Source organism: Homo sapiens, chromosome 22 (assembly GCF_000001405.40).
Source record: "Homo sapiens chromosome 22, GRCh38.p14 Primary Assembly".
NCBI classification, from domain to species: Eukaryota; Metazoa; Chordata; class Mammalia; order Primates; family Hominidae; genus Homo; species Homo sapiens.
The window spans coordinates 46900251-46918226 of NC_000022.11; the positions used below are offsets into that span (position 1 = coordinate 46900251).

Here is a 17976-nt window from a genome sequence, read left to right on the forward strand (position 1 = left end):
AAGCGATTCTCTTGCCTCAGACTCCCGAGTAGCTGGGATTACAGGCACCCACCACCATGTCCAGCTAATTTTTATATTTTTAATAGAGATGGGGTTTCACCATCTTGGTCAGACTGGTCTTGAACTCCTGACCTGGAGATCCACCCTCCTTGGCCTCCCAAGGTGCTGGGATTACAGGCGTGAGTAACTGTGCCCGGCTTGACAGCTGTGTTTATAGGTGTGTACCAGCTCCCTAATATGTGATACAGAACATTTCCGTCACTCTGCGAGGTTCCCCATGTCCCTTTGTGTCAGTCTCCTCTCCCCACCCTTGCACTTGACAACTGCTGATCTTCTTTCTGTCTCTAGAGTTCTGCCCTTTTGTAGAATTTCATATAAATGGAGTCCTAGAAACTGTAGACTTTAGTCTGTGTCTTCTTTTACTTAGTGTAGTGGTTTTGAGGTTTGTGCATGCTGTTGCAAGGATCAGGAGTTCATTGCCTTTTCCTGCTGAGTAGTGTTCCCGTATGGCCGTACCACAGTGTGTCTGTCTGTGCACCCGTTGACGGACACTGGAGTTCTTTCTAATTTTTGCCCATTACAAAATAAATTTTCTCTAAACCTTCATGTACTAATCTTATTGGGGAAAGCAAACATCCTGTTCTCACTGCTGATTTTAAAGGGAAGTCTTTTAACGTTGCACCATTGACTTGTGATTTTAATCTTTACTATGTTAAGGAAGGTGCCTTGCTCTTAGTTTTAAAATCATAAATGGTTGTGGAGGTTTATCAAATCCTTTTTCCTCCCATCTGAGATATGTTTTTGCTTCTTTGATCTGTTAATGTAGTGAATTTTATTAGATTTTCTAGTATTGAGCCAACTGTATATTCCTGAAATAAATCCAGATTGGTCATGATGGATTTTTAAAAGTGTATTTCAGAAGTTTGTTGGCATCTAACGTGCCAGGCCACACTGCAGGATTAAGTTTGCTAACATGTGATGTGCCACGCTGCCAGACGTGGAAGCCAGGTTTCTCTTTAATTTGGAAAGTGCTTTCTGACCATTGTACTGATTCTTCAGTTATGCCCGGATGTGGAATCCTCTCAGCTGCGTTGTTTTCTCTGGTAATAGTGATGTGATCCTTGGTGTGAAAGTATTGTTTATTTTCAGTACTTAGTTCTTTGGACATAAGGAAACCTCTGTGTTTTGCTAACCTGTTAAGACACCTGACGTGGGCACAAAACGTGGGCTGTAAATTAACGTATTTGAATGAGGTGAATGTTGAGTAATTCACACACCAAATGTGGCATTTCTGCTCATCGCGAGAGAGTTCTACCCATTAATTAGGTTGTAAACATATAGTCAGTAGTTTTGGTATACTCAGTGTGGATTTTATGTGATATATGGTTGCCTTTTAACCCAATTCTAGATTTCTACAGTTCGATTTTGGTTTCATTCATCAAGTGTTATAACTCACATGGGGGGGGGATGTTCCTTGAATCATGTTGCAGAAACTTGAGTTGTAAATAATTTCTTCTTTCTGACGCTACGATGCTTCTGGATTTTGAGGGCTGTACATCCCACAGGTCTTCTCAGTAGAATTCTCTATTTTGCTCCTCTCCCAGAAATTATCTCCATGGCGCTTTGTATACCGTGATGTCACATTGCTGATGCATATAGAATTATGATGTTTTAAAATTTCTCAAATCAGATTGTTTATAAACGTGAGTACAGCAACATTTTCAATTTCAATATAGTTCCTTTTTAGTTATGCAAAATCTCTGAGCTCCCTCGTGTGCACTGAACTGCTGGTGTTCTGGGCCTGCCTTGGAGGCATGCGGGGTGTTTGTTAGGTGGACACGGTGAAGACCGGGGTCCTTAGTAGGGGACCTCAAGCCCCTCCTGGGAGCCTTCTGTGGGAGAGTGCTGTTGAGGTTTTTAGGAAGAACCTTTTCCTTCCGAATTAGCATGCATGTTCTGGCGTTCAGATTTCTGAAGTTTGGCAAGCAAGCTGGGAATACCTCTGGTTTTTAAATTTCTTCAGCCCTGGTGGTACCCAGTAGTAGCAACCATTTTTATTATTGTTGAGTATTAACTGATTTGCAGAAAAGATACTTTGGGAAGAGTTTAAAGTTTGTACTACTTTTAATGAATTCCCACTCTCTAACAAAGACGTGAACATCAAGAATGTTACTAGAACTTTAGTAGCTAATGATATCCAGTGAGTACTTCTTGTTTGAACCATTTCAGATTATTCTGTGTTGTCCTTAAACACAGCCGCATCCTTAGGGCGTCCTTCCTTTATTGCCCTTTGCTAGATAATATCACCACTTAAGCGACAGCTCACTTGCTGGAATGCGAGTTGCTGTCCTGGGACAGAGCCCCGCTGTGTCCGCTAAACCAGCCCTTCCACTGAGCTGACTCTTCGCCTCCACTCAGAGTCCCGTTCAAGTGGGCACGTTGTTTTCACCTTTCCTGCGATAACTGCAAGCAACACACCTGCATTTTTGACACACAAAGTTGTAATGGTTGTGATTCCCGAAGAACACCAGCAGACAGACACCCGGTGGGCACGTGGGGACACGAAGACTCAGATGTCTCTGTCCTCAGCAGCGCACAGTTGAAGTGAGGGATGAAGACAGATGTGCGTGAAACCCAGAGAGATCATATACAGTTGTCAATGAAACCACAGTTTGTATCCTGCCGACTGCATTCCAGGGTGGCTGAAAGAATTGGAGAAGACAGCCCGAGGAGGGGCAGCGTATGGGGCAGTCCACTCTGGAGGGTCATGCCCAATTGCTGGGGCCGCCTCACGTCTCTGCTCTGTGATTTCTTCTATTTCCTGGCCCGGTTGGGCCGTGGATCTCTCCCTGGTGCACCTGGAGTCTCTGTGGATCTCTTTCCTCAGGGGACTCTGCAACCCAGCCTCACGCCCTGCAGGGGGTCACAGACCTCAGCCTGGTGGGCGTTCGGGACCGAGGGCTGAGGGCCGAGGGTTGAGGTGAAGTGCAGTGGCACAGCCATCCCAGGCTGCAGGCGAAGGGGCTCCCCTTCGAGAACCCACAGGATGGTAGCAGAGCGAAGTTCAGCCTGCGGGGGCGTCTGTACTCGGGGAAGCTGTGGACCAGGCATGGAGCCAGCCTGTTTGCCCTCCCCGCCCTGATGGCTGCTCCGGCTGGCTAGGCCTCTTCTCTGAGATTCTTGGCTTAGTACCTCTGGCTTTTGCCGCTTGAATTTGGGGACCTGTCGGCTCTTCCTGTTTCGCTTCAGTGGACTTCCACCCTAGCTCTCGCCTCTGGTTGCTGCTCTGAGCGTGAGTCTAGAGGGACCAGCAAGGTCCTGAGGGAGTTGCGAGGAATCGGGCCCTGTCCAGGGGCATGGGGAGTCTGAGAGGCCCCCTCAATGTTTTGCAGCAGCCAGGTCTTCCCCCTGCCTGCCCCAGCAGGGTAAGAAGCAGCACACAGGAGTGTATTTCCTCTCGGCTGGGCCGCTGCTGTGAGACAGCCCCAGTGGACGGGGGTGGAAAGGAATCTCCTTGAAGAGATTCTTACCTGACTTCTTTTCTGGCTGAGACTGTCTAAGGCAGCAGTGGAGGCACTGGGTAGTGGTTGGGACTGAGGGGTGGTAGGAACTCCCAGCAAACCGGGAAAAGCATCAGTTGCTCAGAGCTTGCTGGGCTGCTGCCGAGTGCCCCGCTGCCCGTGGACGCACCTTCAAGGGAGGTGGCATGCTTAATTTTTACCCAGACCCCTTTAAGTGTCACCCTGTAGACTTTGAAAATGCTTATTTGGAAAAAAATGATATGAAATCTGTCATATATATGTATATATATATGTGTATGTATACATATATACATATCTAAATAAAATCTATCTATCTATCTATCTATCTATCTATCTATCTATCTATCTATCTACCTACCTACCTACCTACCTACCTACCTACCAGTCTGAGAGCAAAAGCTTAGAACTGGCTCAATGCGGTTTTTTGAAAAAAGAATAAAAAAAAAGGTACGATTATTTGATGCAGGGCTTCAGAGTCCCACAGCATGTGTCCTTTGGTGTTGGGGATGGGACCTCTTTTTCTTATAACAGGCTTTCAGTGATGTCTATGTGGCGAGCTCATTGTGGTGAAAATCACGCGGCAAGATAATTTCAGGGTAACCCTCGGCAATACCATCCGAGTGTGCTCTCAGCCGCGAGTGCTTTCCTGGCTTGCCTGCTGGTGACCAGGATGAAAAACGAATTTTTTTTTTTTGAGACGGAGTCTTGCTTTGTTGTCCAGGCTGGAGTGCAGTGGTGTGATCTTGGCTCTCAGCAACCTCTGCCTCCCGGGTTCAAGCCATTCTCCTGCCTCAGGCTCCCGAGTAGCTGGGATTACAGGCGCCCGCCACCACGCCCGGCTAATTTTGTATTTTTAGTAGAGATGGGGTTTCTCCATGTTGGTCAGGCTGGTCTTGAACTCCTGACCTCAGGTGATCTGCCTGCCTCGGCCTCCCAAAGTGCTGGGATTACAGGCGTGAGCCACTGCACCCGGCCGAGAAAATTTTTTTTTTTTTTTTCTGAGACAGAGTCTTAGTCTGTCACCCAGGCTGGAGTGCGGTGGCGCAATCTCAGCTCACTGCCAGCTCCACCTCCCGGGTTCGCGCCATTCTTCTGCCTCAGCCTCCTGTGTAGCTGGGACTACAGGCGCCTGCCACCATGCCCGGCTAATTTTTTGTATTTTTAGTAGAGACGGGGTTTCACCGTGTTAGCCGGGATGGTCTCGATCTCCTGACCTCGTGATCCACCTGCCTCGGCCTCCCGAAGTGCTGGGATTACAGGCGTGAGCCACCGCGCCCGGCTGAGAAAATGTTTTAAAGCCTCTGTGGCTTTCAGAGGGGGACGGTGGGGACTCTTAGGCACCACAGTACAAATCAGGTGATTTCGGAAGGAGTTTTTAAAATGATACTAAATTGCTTTGGGATTAGAACTAGTTTTTGCCATTTCAAAACACCAGCATAACTCATATGAAGTGATTCAAGACAAAAGATAAAAAGGAATGAGGCAGTGAAAACAACAGCAAGCAGCAAGGAAAGGGAAGCCTGGGCCTGGAGGAGGCCTCTGTCCTTTCTGATGGAGACAGTCATCCTGTGAGTTGGCTTCATAGCTTGCCAGCATGAAGAGGAGCTCAGGGTCTGTGCCTGTCGCCTCTGCTCAGAGCCTTTCATGAGCAAGTTGGTAAAGCAGCAGATTGATTTGGGTCCGTGCAGGGTGTCCTGAGTAGCCATCCCCTGGGCTAGCATCCTTAGCTTCCAGCCCTGCAGCCGGCCCCGGGGAGGAGGGCACGGGGTGGCCGCTGGAAGAGAAGCCTGCGGTCGGTTGGCGGGTGGGGGACAGGCGGGGCCTCTGGGGACTGAGCTGAGTGGGTCTCTCAAGGCGGACACGCGAGGGCCAGCGGTCCCAGAAGTTGGGGCCAAGGGAGCCTCTGGGGCATGGCCAGGGATGTCCTGAACCTAGGGGCCAAGCTTCCCCCTGCCTTGCTGGTTTCCCACAGGCTGTTCCTCAACCTGTGGGCGGGCAGGAATCAGTGGTCCTTCTCCATCCTTCTGGGGGCATGACCTTCCCGTGTCCCAGACGTTCTCTGTTTATGGAACCTTGTTTCCATTATTGTAGGTGTTGGGGATTTTCCTCCTGAGTCTAGACAAGGCTGATCTGTGGTAGCATTTTGAGGATAGGTTTCTGTCTGCTGTGTTGGTGGGATGGCTGCCCCTTTTGCAGTTTCCTGGTGGGTGGTGGGAGGTCCTGGCAGGTGGGGCTCACATTAGCCTCTCAGCCACGTGCGGGGCGCCTGGGACCTGCGACCTGCGTTTGGCTTAGTCCAGGGTGGAGCCATCTTGGTTCTTGGCTTGCCCTCAGCACAGCAGTGATGGGAGAAAGGGCAGCTGCAGGAAATTCAAGCAGTTATTTACCTTTTCTTCCCTACTGCTACCCAAAAAAATGTAAATCGTATATGTTTTCTTACTTTCTAAATTAATAGCTATCGTTGGAGGGAGATAAGCAGCCAGAAGGTGAGTTTAGATCCATAATTACATGGAGAGCAAGGAGAGCCTGCCCAGAATAAATGTTGGGGAGGGGCTGCACAGCTCTGTGTGGTTTGTGGCAGTGATTTAATTGGCGAGGCTGGTGTGCATTTAGGATAGGTTAGCTGCCTGGGCGCCGCTGTCTACAGTGGGAATGGTGGGCCTGAACACAGCTTGCAGGCAGCACATCCCTCAGCAGGAAAGACGCTCAGGCCTCCTCTTAGTAGCAGAGACTCTGCGCTGATGGCAGGCGCGGGAGCACTCACCATGGGTTTCATCTGGCAGGGCCTCTCCATCCCAGATCCTTGGAATAGGAAGGCTTGGAAATAGGAAGGCTTTTCAGGGAGAAAAGAAACAGCTCTCCACCTACGAGCAAGTCACTAAGGAAAGGCTGCTCGCTCCGTTTCTCAGCCACATGTACTTCCCAGATAGACCCTGAGCTGTTTCACTGGCCCGTGGCTGTGTGTGTGTCCCAGATGGACCCTGAACTGTGTGTGTGTGTGTGTGTGTATGTGTGTGTGTGCTCTAGGTGCATGTGTGTGTGTTCTTTTTTGTGTATGTGCACTTGTGCCTCTGTGTGTGTACATGGGCTCTTTCCTGCGTGTGTATATGTGCGCATGTGCTTTTCATGTGTGCGCGTGTGCTCTCTGTGCACATGAGCTTTTCTCTGTGTGTGTAGATTGGTGCACTTACACTCTTCTCTGTGTACACGGGCTTTTCTCTGTGTGCACGCTTCGTATGTGTGTACTCTTCTGTGTGCATGTGCTCTTCTCCACATGTGTGCTCTTCTGTGTGTGTGTGCTCTTCACGTGTGTGCGCTCTTCTCCGTGCGTGTGCTCTTCTTTGTGTGTGTGTGCGTGTGTTCTTCTCCGTGTGTGCACACATGCTCTTTTCTCTGCATAGAAGGCTCCTCTCCTCCTCCCTCCTCAGCTTTCACTACCCTCTCTTCCCGTCACCTCTCTGCAGTCTCCCTTCACCAAGTGCTTCTATCTTCCCTGTCCCTTTCAATGGAGTTACTTCTGCCCCTTCCTCTCTGTGCATTTTTCCACTCAGACAGGTGGGGGCCCTGAGGTCCTGACTGGTTGACGTTTGAAGTGCCAGGCTGCAGCATTGCCTGGTAGAGGAAACAGATGGGAGAGGCTGATCACAAACCCAGGCAGGCACCCATGGCATTCATTATCTGTCCACACAGACCCCCAGAATGAGCCCAGGTCCTGCCAATGGCACAAAACCTGGAGAAGGGAGGAAGGGGAGGGCTCACATGCAGGGCATCAGGGAGCAGCTGCGCCATCCTCGCCTCCACCGTCCTCGCCTCCACCATCCTCGCCTCCACCATCTGCGCCTCCACCATCCACACCTCCATTTAGCCACAAAGAGCTTCCCAGTCCTCCTCTGTGCCGGCCGTGCAGGACTGAGGGCACTGCTGTAAAGTGGGTGGAGGAAACCCTTCCCAGGGACCCACCTTGAACTGGGTGAGAGCCACAGGCCAGAGCCGGGGCAGTGCGGTGGAGGAGCTGCTGCTTTGGGTAGGGAGGTGGCAGAGGAGCTTGTCTCTGAGGAGATGCATGTGAACTAAGACTTGGGTGGAACATCGTGGGAGCCGTGGGAAGTTTGGGAGACGGGGATTCCAGGTGGAAAGAGCAGCAGTGCAAAGGCCCTGAGACAGCCGCAGAGTGGCTGGGCCTGGTGAGAGAGCACCCATTGCCGGCGAGGAGGCCAGAGAGCAGGGAGCGGCCAGGCACACACCTGAAGCCATGCTCAGGAGTGCATTGTCTCGTCAGGGTCTTGGAAAGCCACGGGGGCCGGATGGTGTGACCTGACATTTTTAGCAGCAACCTCTGCTGCTCAGCGGGATGTGGAGCATGGGGGTGTTAGCAGGAAGACCAGCCAGGAGACTGTCACTGCGGACCAGGCACAAGGTGATGGTGGTCAGGCTTGTGGCAGTGGAGTCGGGGGAAGGGGCTGGATGCCACACGCATCTGGGGTGTGCTATAGTGGTGATGGCGTGTGGGGTCCGCAGGTCTCCCTGGGATTCTCTGAGGGGCGGACCTCAGGAGCAGTGCCCTAAAAGCCTGTGCCTTTAGCGGCAGAGCCAGGCTTTGTGTGCAGTGTCACACGCCTCCACGGGACACCCACTTTTCACCGTTGCAGCCTGCTTGCCACGTTAAAGGTCATTTTTGTTCAATGCTTGAGCTGGCTGTCCTTTATTTACATGTCAGTTGGATGACAGCGGACATCAAGCCGAGTTAAATCTGAAGAATTTGGACTGACTGATAGCTTTCTTCAGTCAGTAAGAAATTGGAATTCTCCATTTTTCCTCAAAGTAATACAAGCGTGCTCTTTTAAAGTACATTACTACCCAGGCTGGTGCGGAGCGTCCCGGAGTCTGGGTGGGCAGAGGCCCTCTGTCCTGACTTGGATGAGGGGAAGAAGGTAATTGCTGGGTCTTTGGGTTGCCTGTGAAAGGGCACTCACTTGGCAGGTGCTTCAGCACTGTTTGTTTGCTAACTGAAGGCTTAGCCACCTCCTGCCGTGCCTGTTTGGTGGTCCTGATTTGCCCCGTAGTGCATAGTGCATTCCATGTCTCTCCCGAGGCTGTGCTCAGGCAGAACTCGGTCTATCTCAGGTACAGTTCAGAGATGCGGGCCTCATGGAGGCTCCTGCTGTGGAACCGAGTCGAGGCCCCGGCCTGCGCAGATCTCTCCCCTGCAGCAGCCTGTTTCATGGTCCACAGAGCCCGGGAGCTTGTTGTGCCGAGAGGACTTGGGCTCCCCTCGGCATCCTCCCTGGGTGAAGTTGGGTATGTCCTATTTGCCAAATTGGTTTTATCCAGCACTTAGGCTGCTGAGGAAAGTACTGCATTCATGCTTATGAGTAGATATAGCCTTGAGAAAGTGTGTGTTTGTGTGTGTGTGTGCGTGCATGTGTGAGACAGGCCCTCTGAAAGTGAGGGGCCTTGTTAAATGGTGGGGGTGCTCCACTGCCTAAATTCTTCCTATACACATACACACACACACACACACTCACACACTCACTCACTCACACCCAGCACTGCAGTGCGACTGCCCCCTGCTCTGGGCGGTGCCTGCCTTGACTCCCTCTGTCCAGGGTGCGTGCTCCTGGGGCGCTGCACTGCTTGTTCCCTGGGCTGTAGAGGATGCCGTGTGGCGACAGAGCTGGGTCCAGTGGCTGCTGGCTGCCGCGGTCCTCTGGACACACGTGGAGGGATGTCAGTGGCCTCAGGCACCCCGGGCCTTCTTGGTTAGGAGGTGCTGGGCAGAGTTTCCCCATTTCTTCCTAACTCTGTGTGGCCAGCTTCCGTGGAGTCACCGCCTCTGTGTCATTCCTTCTTCCTTCTGTTGCTGCTGCTCCTGTTCTTGTGTGGCCCCTGTCCCCTCTGCCCCCTGCTCCTGACCCTTTTGGGGGCTCAGAGGCCCCTCAGAGGCTTGCTGGTGAGTGGACCTAAGGGCTGTTGAGCTGGACCCGTGCCCCGTGCCTGCCTTCAGGGACCCAGCCTGCCTGTCTTCTAGTCACACGCCGTCCCCTGGGCTTGCTTCACGCCCTAGGGGCTCGGCAGGGCTGGGGCTGCGCGTTGGTGACTCGTGGTGCAGCACTGTTGGCTGAGGGGTTGCCGCCCTGCTTCTTCATCTCCCTCTGGCCCCACACGGCTCCTCTGGCCGCTACTTGCAGCTCGGCTAAATAGCATTCGCATCATTTGCTAAGCTTTGGTACATGAGAAATTCTTAAATGGCACTGTGTTGTTGAGTGGGTTTGGTCTTTGATGTTAAATATTCAGTTCTCTCTAGAAAGTTGTCAACTGAAAATGGAAAGCGTGTATGAATATATGTGCGCGAACATATTCCTCATTCCACCCGCGTCTCTCAGGTGCCTGCTGTGTTAGGTGGTGGCTCTGTTACTCACCTGAACAGCCGTGTGCACTGCATGCTAGCGTGGGGTGGCGGGGGGCCTGGACTTTAGGGCTGGTCATGCCACTCTGGGTAGTCTCCTTGGGTTGAGAGACTTCACCTGTCGGTCCCAGGTCCCTCCTTTGTAGGTCCCGGGTTGATGGTGATTTTGGGGATGGAGCCTACCAAGCCCAGTAAGATTTAGGATTGTAGGCAGGGTAGGAAGGGATCGACTCCCCAGGGTGCAAGTGTAGTTGGCTCTGCGGGGCTGAGTTTGTATGGCAGCGATGTAATTCATCCATCTGTCGGAGCGTGTGTTCCTGAAGTCTACCTCCTGTGCCTTGTTTGTATGGACAGGCCTGGACAGAGCAGTTGGGCCTGGCCTTAGCTGGCAGGCAGCCCGAAGGTCAGGCTGGAGCCATCAGCCAGTGACCCAGTGGAGAGGAGTGGGAACTAGAGGGCCACACAGTAGGGAGTGGTTGGCTCTTCCAAAAAGAGAGTGGGGAGGGAACAGGTGGCAGCAGAGTCTTCACGGAGGGAGTGGTGCTTGAAGTGAATCCTGAAAGCCAGGGGAGTCGAGACCCAGGGTGCGGGAGTGGCAGGCTTTCCAGGCAGAGGTAGGAGTACGGGCTGATCACTCAGGGGGATCGAGACCCAGGGTGCGGGCGTGGCAGGCTTTCCAGGCAGCGGTAGGAGTACGGGCTGATGACTGGCAGGCTCAGTTGGGGAAGAATGCTGTAGCTCAGTGCAGCCACAATGTGGGTGCTGGCTGGGGAGACCCTGGGGCAGGGACCAGACTGAGGGGCCAGGGGTACTGCACTGGGGGTGGTGGGGGCTCTGTCCGTGGGAGGTGAGGAGCATGCAGAGGTCTTCAGCCAGGTGTGCACATGTGCACGTGTATGGTGTGGGTGATAGGATTGTGTTGCACCTTGGTATAATGAAACCCTCCTTATGAGTGAAGATGGGAGCGAGTAGGTGGGAATAAGAGGTGGTGGAGAGAGGGTCCACTGAATATATTGAGAGTATTGGAGGGAGGAGGCCGGAATGACTCCTGCATGCCTGGCCTGCGTGCCTGAATGCCTGCTGAGATTTCGTAAGTGATGGAAGATGTTTAAGTTTGTCTTCTTGAATGGTGATACCTTTTCAGAGGTTTAAAGAAATCTGTTTACTTTATGAGGGAAATTTAGAGCATCCACCCACCCACCTGTCCATCCACTCATCTGCTCGCCTGCTCACTCATCCATGCCTCCCTCCCTGAGGAAGTCTCCACTGATAGGTCAGGTGCTGCTGCACGGTGGCCCGCGGGGTGTGGAGGAGCAGAGCGCTTCTGCTGGGAGAGCCAGCTCAGGGACGGACTGAGCCAGGGGCTGCTGAAGTGCTGCACATTGCTTGTGGGACAATAAATAATTTTTTTTAAAATCAAGTTTCAATTGTCTTAAGGGCCGTGCGTGGTGGCTCATTCCTGTAATCCCAGCACTTTGGGAGGCTGAGGTGGGTGGATCACTTGAGGTCAGGAGTTCACAAGCAGCCTGGCCAACGTGGCGAAACCCTGTGTGTACCAAAAAATACAAAAATTAGCCAGGCATGGTAGCGCATGCCTGTAGTCCCAGCTACTTGGAAGGCTGAGGTGGGAGGATTGCTTGAACCTGGAAGGCAGAGGCTGCAGTGAGCTGAGATGGCACCACTGCACTCTAGCCTGGGCAACAGAGTAAGACCCTGTCTCAAAAAAAAAAAAAAATTGATATTTGTTTATATTTGTATCTTAATATTAGGAGCAATGAGAAAATACAGTGTACATTTTAAGTAATAGAATGCTTTCATTTTAAAGTTTCTGCCATGTTTACTTTTTGCTTTACCACCTGTTCCATTTTCTTTCAGATTTTTGAAAGGATCTTGTTCATATGGGCGATCCGCCACCCAGCCAGTGGATACGTTCAGGGTATAAATGATCTCGTCACTCCTTTCTTTGTGGTCTTCATTTGTGAATACATAGGTAAGATTTCTTGCAAACATTAAACGTGAACTTTAGTGGACTTGCTGTGTGTTACTATGTATAATTATAACAATATTGAAAATTGCTACTAAGTGTAATGTTATTAATGATAGGTAATATTAGAGAATAATAGTTTTCTCATCAACAACAGCTTTCCAAAATGTCTTTAATCTACATGCTCAACTACTGAAGACATTAAATTGCAGTTATAATGATGAATATCTTCTTTTTAACAATATTTGAAGATAGATAATATATTTGGGGAGTGTAGTTTATTCTAAAGGCCATCACAGTAATGGCTTTAATGGTTTCAGTCATTCAATCGATCAGTCATTCAGTCAATCAGTCTGTCTGTCTGTCTATCTGTTTATCTATCTGTTTATTTTGAGACGGAGTGTTGCTCTGCTGCCCAGGCTGGAGTATAGTGGCACGATATCGGCTAACTGCAACCTCTGCCTCCCGGGTTCAAGTGATTCTCCTGCCTCAGCCTCCTGAGTACTTGGGACTACGGGCATGCGCCACCATGCCCAGCTAATTTTTGTATTTTTAGTAGAGACGGGCTTTCACCATGTTGGCCAGGGTGGTCTCGAACTCCTGACCTCGTGATCTGCCCGCCTTCGCCTCCCAAAGTGCTGGGATTATAGACGTGAGCTACCACGCCCAGTCAGTGGCTTGAATTTAAATGGATAAGATTAAGGTGATAGAGTGTCAGTCACATATTTTGCTTACAAGCTGAAAATCAAATCTTCTTTAATTGCGTTTCTGTGGCCTTTCATCACTTTTCTACTTTTGCTATACTAGTAACATTTGGTTTCATGAGAGTATTAATTACTTGTGAAATAACTGGTTGAACAGTGTTTTAGGTTGGGCTGTGTTTTTATGCTGTTTCTTTTTAAGTACTGCATATTTTTCCTTTATCACAGTCAACTGTAATGTAACTTAATCTGTTTTGAATATGTTTTTAAGTTAAAACCTCTGATAATAAAAGTGAGGATCTGCTTTTTAATGCGTCTATGGATAAAACATAAATAGGAAAGAGGGGACTTTACTGTTTAGTCACAGCATTTTAATTTAAACCTGGTTTTGTCTTCCTGCAAGCCTTCTGGACTTGGTGCTCGCCTGTTGTTATTACATGGTGTTTTTAGCCTTTCCAGGTTGTGGTCGGCCTCAGATTCCCATCCTTGCTGTGATCTGGAGAGATGAGCCTTACCCGAGGACAGATGAACAGATTATCCTCAGAAGATGAGGACATATCCAAGTAGTGAATTTTACTGCAGCCCTCTGACACTTTGTTTCCATTTGTGATTTCATAGGAGGTTGTCTCATTGCTAAGCAACTAATGAGAGCTGCCTCGGCTCACTCCCTAATCATCTCTTAAGTAGGGGAGAGGCTACTCCTGAGGGTGCTTGCTTTTCTGCCTCTTACCCCTCATTTGACAGATAATGAAAATGCTCTTAATGATCCTAGAACAGTAGGACCTCTGTCAGTAGACTTCAGAGTTGTTAATTGAAAGGAGAAGTTCAACTGAGATGTGATTAGAGAATTGATATTCCATGTTAAATAGACCATTTAATTAATGTGGTAAATAAGTTTGTTTTAACTACTTTACCGCCAACTTCTGTTGTAAGACCTAAGCGATTCTTAATGCATTTGCCTGATTATCTGCAAGACAGGATGAAGGGGCATGACCACGATCTTAATTGTCCAGAAGAAAGAAAGCCTGGAGAAAATGGAATTTGTGTCCTATAAGTGGTGTCTTCAGATGAGCTCAGAGACACTCTCCTTGCCTTCCTGCGTCCCCATCCTTCCTGCATCGCCGTCACACACGCAGGCACATGCACACACACATGCACACATCAGAACACAACTACACATTGGGTATACGGTGTCACTTTTGAACATCTGTGTAAAACATACCATTTATTTCTGTCAGTCAACTATTAAGTGGACATATAAAAATGTTTGGGCCAGGCGCTGTGGCTCACGCCTGTAATCCGAGCACTTAAGGAGGTTGATGCAGATGAATCACGAGGTCAGGAGTTTGAGACCATCCTGGCTAACATGGTGAAACCCCGTCTCTACTAAAAATACAAAAAATTAGCTGGGCGTGCTGGCATGCACCTGTAGTTCCAGCTACTCGGGAGGCTGAGGCAGGAGAATCGCTTGAGACTGGGAGGCGGAGGTTGCAGTGAGCCGAGATCGCGCCACTGCACTCCAGCCTGGGTGACAGAATGAGACTCCATCTCAAAAAAAAAAAAAAAAAAGAAGTTCGGTCCTGGATTTCACATGTGATTATTGCATTTGTAGTCCTTTTTAGATCTAGCTTCCTAGGTTTGGGGAATGTTCATTAGTACAGTCCAAGTCCGCCTTTCATTATGTTGTAAAGAAGCGTTTAACTTGCGTGGTGTGCTGTCCAGATTCCTTATGGGGCTGAAGTTGAGTCATTCACGCGGCCCTTCATGGAGCACCTGCCCTGGTGCTGGGTGTGGTGCAGAGCGCTGCGGTGGGGAGATGACTTCGGTTCAACGCAGCCAGTGTTGACAGAGCATCTCCTGGCCCTGTGCTGTGGGAGTGGGGCAGGAGAACAAGGAAAGCCTGATCCCTGTCCTCTTGGAGTTTGTGGTTGTAGCACGGAAGACAGATTTTAGAGGAGTAATTTAAAGTCTTAATTAAAGTAATTAACATTCACATTATCAAGAGGAAGCCTGGGCTGCTGTAGGGACCTGTCCCCTTATAGGGGTCAGGGGAGGCCTCCAGGGTGAGGTGATGTTTTAGCCATGTCTCGCGGGATGAGGAGGAGGCTAGATTGAGGCCGGGCATTCAGAGAGGGCAGCAGAAGGGCCGGCCTGGAATCCAAGGTGCAGTGACAAGTAGTGGCATTGGGAGGAAGGGCAGGGCGGCTTGGGCTGCAGTGCTGAGAAGGAGAAGCTTGGGGTCGAGTCCCAGGGGTGTGCGAAACCCCCAGCCACTGTGCTCAGGTTCTTATCTTTGAACATTCATTCTGGCAGCTGCGTGGATGAGATTGGAGGGTTTCTGGGGAAGCTCATAGACCAGGGACCCGCAGGGTCCAGCACCGGCAGAGGCACGGGTGCCCTCCAGAGAGGCTATTCTGGTTTGCTGAACTCTTAGTTTGCTGGGTCTTCAAGCCGGTAAACCTCAGATGCTCTGCTTAGTGAAGATCTTCAAGATTGACTGTTCCTTCAGAGAACAGAGCCTGGTAATGGGATTCTGTGGTTTCGACACCTGAGCACCTGCCAGTCCTTGGGCCTCAGCGTTCAGGTTATCATGTGACCGCTCATACACCTTTGGTGCAGCTGCCAGTGGCACTAGCCCGGGTGTGGCTACCTCCTGAGAGCTGCAGCTGGCCTGGTTCTGGGGATGAGCTTGTGTTGTTACTTGGATATTCCTCTTTTCTTTGAAGTACAGGATAGCATCCCAGTTAATCAAAGGTTTAAGAAATCCCCGGGGTGTGGGATTTCTCCAGGGGCTTTCAGGCAACAGCAGACAGATCTGTGATGCCTGAGTGGGAGCTGGGCTCTTTCTGGGGATGTGTGTTCGCCATGTGTCCAGAGCCTGTAAAGATCCACAGATCCTGGCCTGCCATATGCTCCCACTGGTTTCACGGGAGGTGGGGAATCCTGGAGTGTGGCATTGGTCCTGAGTAGGAGCAGCTCTTCGGGAGTGGCTCATCGTTCTGGCTGTCAGTGGGAGGTTCCAACTCTGCACATGCTGGCACTCAGAGCCCTCTCAGTGTTACGTTCTTTGACTTGGAAAGAAGGATGTGGTGGGCTTCAGATTCCCATCCTTGCTGTAATCTGGAGAGATGAGCTTTACCCGAGGACAGATCATCCCCCGAGGATGAGGACATATGCATGTAGTGAATTGTATTGCAACCCCTCTGACACTTTGTTTCCAGTTATGATTTCATAGGAGGTTGTCTCATTGCTAAGCAACTAATGAGAGCTGCTGTGGTTGAGGTTGACACACAGGACCTGGTCTGAAGGCAGACCAGTCGACTAGGTGAACTGCTTCCCAGCACAGAGGAGAATGTTCATCTTCAGCAGGAGGCTGGCCAGGATGTCAGAGTCAGAGAAACAGTTTGTAGTGGGGGAGCAATGCTCAAGCTGTGTGGAGGTGTGCTCAGAGGTGGGTTAGGGTTCGATGGGTCTCCATGGGTGCCAGGACACTGCCGGCCTGAGTCAGGAATACATGGTATGCATCCCAGCAGTCCTCGTGGAGCTCACCACTATTTGAGAAGGGCAGTTTGGTCCTGCTGTTGATGGATGCAGAGTCTGTAAATGCATGTTTAGGGCATGCTCTTGCACACACACATGCTGTGCACACAGGCGTGCAGGCACGTGCACGCGGACATACATAACCATACAGAGACACAAACCCACTTGCACACTCCTCACTAGTGCTAGCCTCAACCTCTCCAAGCAAATGGGGAACAAATCTGTAATCAACCTTTGTTTGAGTGGCACCCACCAGTTTCGCTCAGGCCCTGGAGGTGCCTGTCATTGGAGAAAGAGGTCAAGCGATCTTGCGTGACCTCAGAGGCAGGGGCAGCCGTGTGCAAAGCATGTGAAGACAGTGAAGTCCAGTAAATACAGCCAGTTCGACATCACCGAAGCTTGGGGAGAAAACTCTACAAGTGAAAACGAAGTGAGAGGGTATAATGTGATGGGAGAGATCGATCATGGAGAAGTTCTCTATGCCAGGAAGGTTTCGCAGCTCATAAATTTCAGAGGTTGAAGCCTTAGGGAGTGGGGAAGAAACTAGAGGCACATAGTGATACATTTGCTGAAGCTTGAATGTGCCCATTCCAGATCAGAGCCAAGCGTGCGTGCTTGTTCTTGCAGATTGCGTCCTTGACCCATGGGGCGGGCAGAGTGTGGAGGAGACTCCAGTTAGCACAGCCATTGGAGACGACACTCAGCTAGGAACAGGCGGAAGACACACTTTTTAGTCTAATCTTTTAGAATTGAGAGGAAACAGCAAGGCACGTGCTACTTTGGACTTAGTTCAGGCCATGGAAGAAGGCAGGTCTAGGATGAGAATAACATAGGGTCCAGGGCATCTTAGAGTTTGTAACAGCAGAGGAGTGACACCTGGTCTAGAGACACTGAGGGGTACAGGAGCAGGCCCAGACCAGAGGCCGGTGGAGGCAGGAGACTCGCTGACGGAGGACTGGGCCTGAGAGGAGGGCCTGGTCCTGGATGTCAAATAGGCTGCTGTGAGGGCACCAAGGTGGCTTGGTGTGAGTAGAGGGGAGCGTGAACGAGAAGGAAAAATCCAGTCACCTCCTAGATTCCTGGCCCTGTGAGGGGTGTGGTGCCGTTTACCAGGATGAGACGTGGAGTAGAAAGAGCGGGTTGAGGAGGCGGGATGGGGTTCTGATTTAGGATGTGCTGAGTGTGCTCTGTCGGCAGTGATTGAGTAGAAGAGTCTGTTGGGATCCGGGCCTTGGCAGGAGATCTGCAGTGGAGGTTAGTCTGGAAATTGTCGGCCTGGAAATGGCTGCTGACAGTCGCGGCTGTGGATGTGTGTGTCTGGGGAGAGTGGAGTGCAGCGGGTCACAGGATCCAGTGGCTCTCTGATGTGTCAGGGGTCTCCGAGCTGTGACTGTCTGTGACTCGAGGAGCTGGCAATGGGGCTGTCCCACAGGGAGGTTTATGGCGCTCTCCCATGCCGGAGTCTGGGCGTTGAGAGTCCAGGTGGCTCCTGCTGCTGAGGGCCGCCTTTGGGATCTGTGAAGGATGCAATGCAGCTCTGGGGCCTGACCGCTGGGGTCCAGATCCAGACGCTGCCCCTGAAGAGCTGCAGGCGGCCTTGGTGCCTCAGTGATCTCTGCAGTGGACACGAAATGGAGATCGTAATGGCACCAGTCCCTTGGTTGGTGTGAACACTGAGCGAGGCAAAAACAGCTTAGAACCAGGTATGGAACGCAGTAAGTGTCCAGTATGCGTTGCTCTTGTGATCATCGTTACTGTCACTTTCTTTGTTGCTGCCTGTGGCTTTCCTCTGCTTAAAATGGT

At 50.8% G+C, this 17976-nt stretch overlaps 1 protein-coding gene and 1 long non-coding RNA gene across 20 annotated transcripts in view, besides 5 other annotated features; one reads left to right on the forward strand and one right to left on the reverse strand.

The window, feature by feature from the left end:
* Positions 1-17976, forward strand: part of TBC1D22A (TBC1 domain family member 22A) — a 413050-nt gene that overhangs the window by 137601 nt on the left and 257473 nt on the right. For 17 of the 19 annotated variants that reach the window (XR_007067971.1, NM_001284304.2, XM_017028742.3 and 14 more), the window contains one exon: positions 11824-11938. Coding sequence is in view for 16 of the 19 variants with exons in the window: in NM_001284304.2 (NP_001271233.1) it covers positions 11824-11938 (115 nt within the window). In the remaining 3 variants the exon portion in view is untranslated. 19 annotated transcript variants of the gene reach the window in all.
* Positions 2413-3058: an enhancer, noted in NCBI's record as "H3K27ac-H3K4me1 hESC enhancer chr22:47298559-47299204 (GRCh37/hg19 assembly coordinates)". NCBI's record gives its function as "activates a minimal SCP1, AML or CMV promoter by ChIP-STARR-seq in naive H9 embryonic stem cells {active_cell/tissue: H9 hESC(naive)}" and the evidence as "EXISTENCE:reporter gene assay evidence [ECO:0000049][PMID:30033119]".
* Positions 8059-8952: an enhancer, noted in NCBI's record as "H3K4me1 hESC enhancer chr22:47304205-47305098 (GRCh37/hg19 assembly coordinates)". NCBI's record gives its function as "activates a minimal SCP1, AML or CMV promoter by ChIP-STARR-seq in naive and primed H9 embryonic stem cells {active_cell/tissue: H9 hESC(naive and primed)}" and the evidence as "EXISTENCE:reporter gene assay evidence [ECO:0000049][PMID:30033119]".
* Positions 8953-9846: an enhancer, noted in NCBI's record as "H3K4me1 hESC enhancer chr22:47305099-47305992 (GRCh37/hg19 assembly coordinates)". NCBI's record gives its function as "activates a minimal SCP1, AML or CMV promoter by ChIP-STARR-seq in primed H9 embryonic stem cells {active_cell/tissue: H9 hESC(primed)}" and the evidence as "EXISTENCE:reporter gene assay evidence [ECO:0000049][PMID:30033119]".
* On the reverse strand, positions 13842-15792 carry TBC1D22A-AS1 (TBC1D22A antisense RNA 1). The gene has a single exon (NR_122047.1). It is a non-coding gene; the product is annotated as a TBC1D22A antisense RNA 1 (long non-coding RNA).
* Positions 14321-14822: an enhancer, noted in NCBI's record as "H3K27ac hESC enhancer chr22:47310467-47310968 (GRCh37/hg19 assembly coordinates)". NCBI's record gives its function as "activates a minimal SCP1, AML or CMV promoter by ChIP-STARR-seq in naive H9 embryonic stem cells {active_cell/tissue: H9 hESC(naive)}" and the evidence as "EXISTENCE:reporter gene assay evidence [ECO:0000049][PMID:30033119]".
* Positions 14823-15322: an enhancer, noted in NCBI's record as "H3K27ac hESC enhancer chr22:47310969-47311468 (GRCh37/hg19 assembly coordinates)". NCBI's record gives its function as "activates a minimal SCP1, AML or CMV promoter by ChIP-STARR-seq in naive H9 embryonic stem cells {active_cell/tissue: H9 hESC(naive)}" and the evidence as "EXISTENCE:reporter gene assay evidence [ECO:0000049][PMID:30033119]".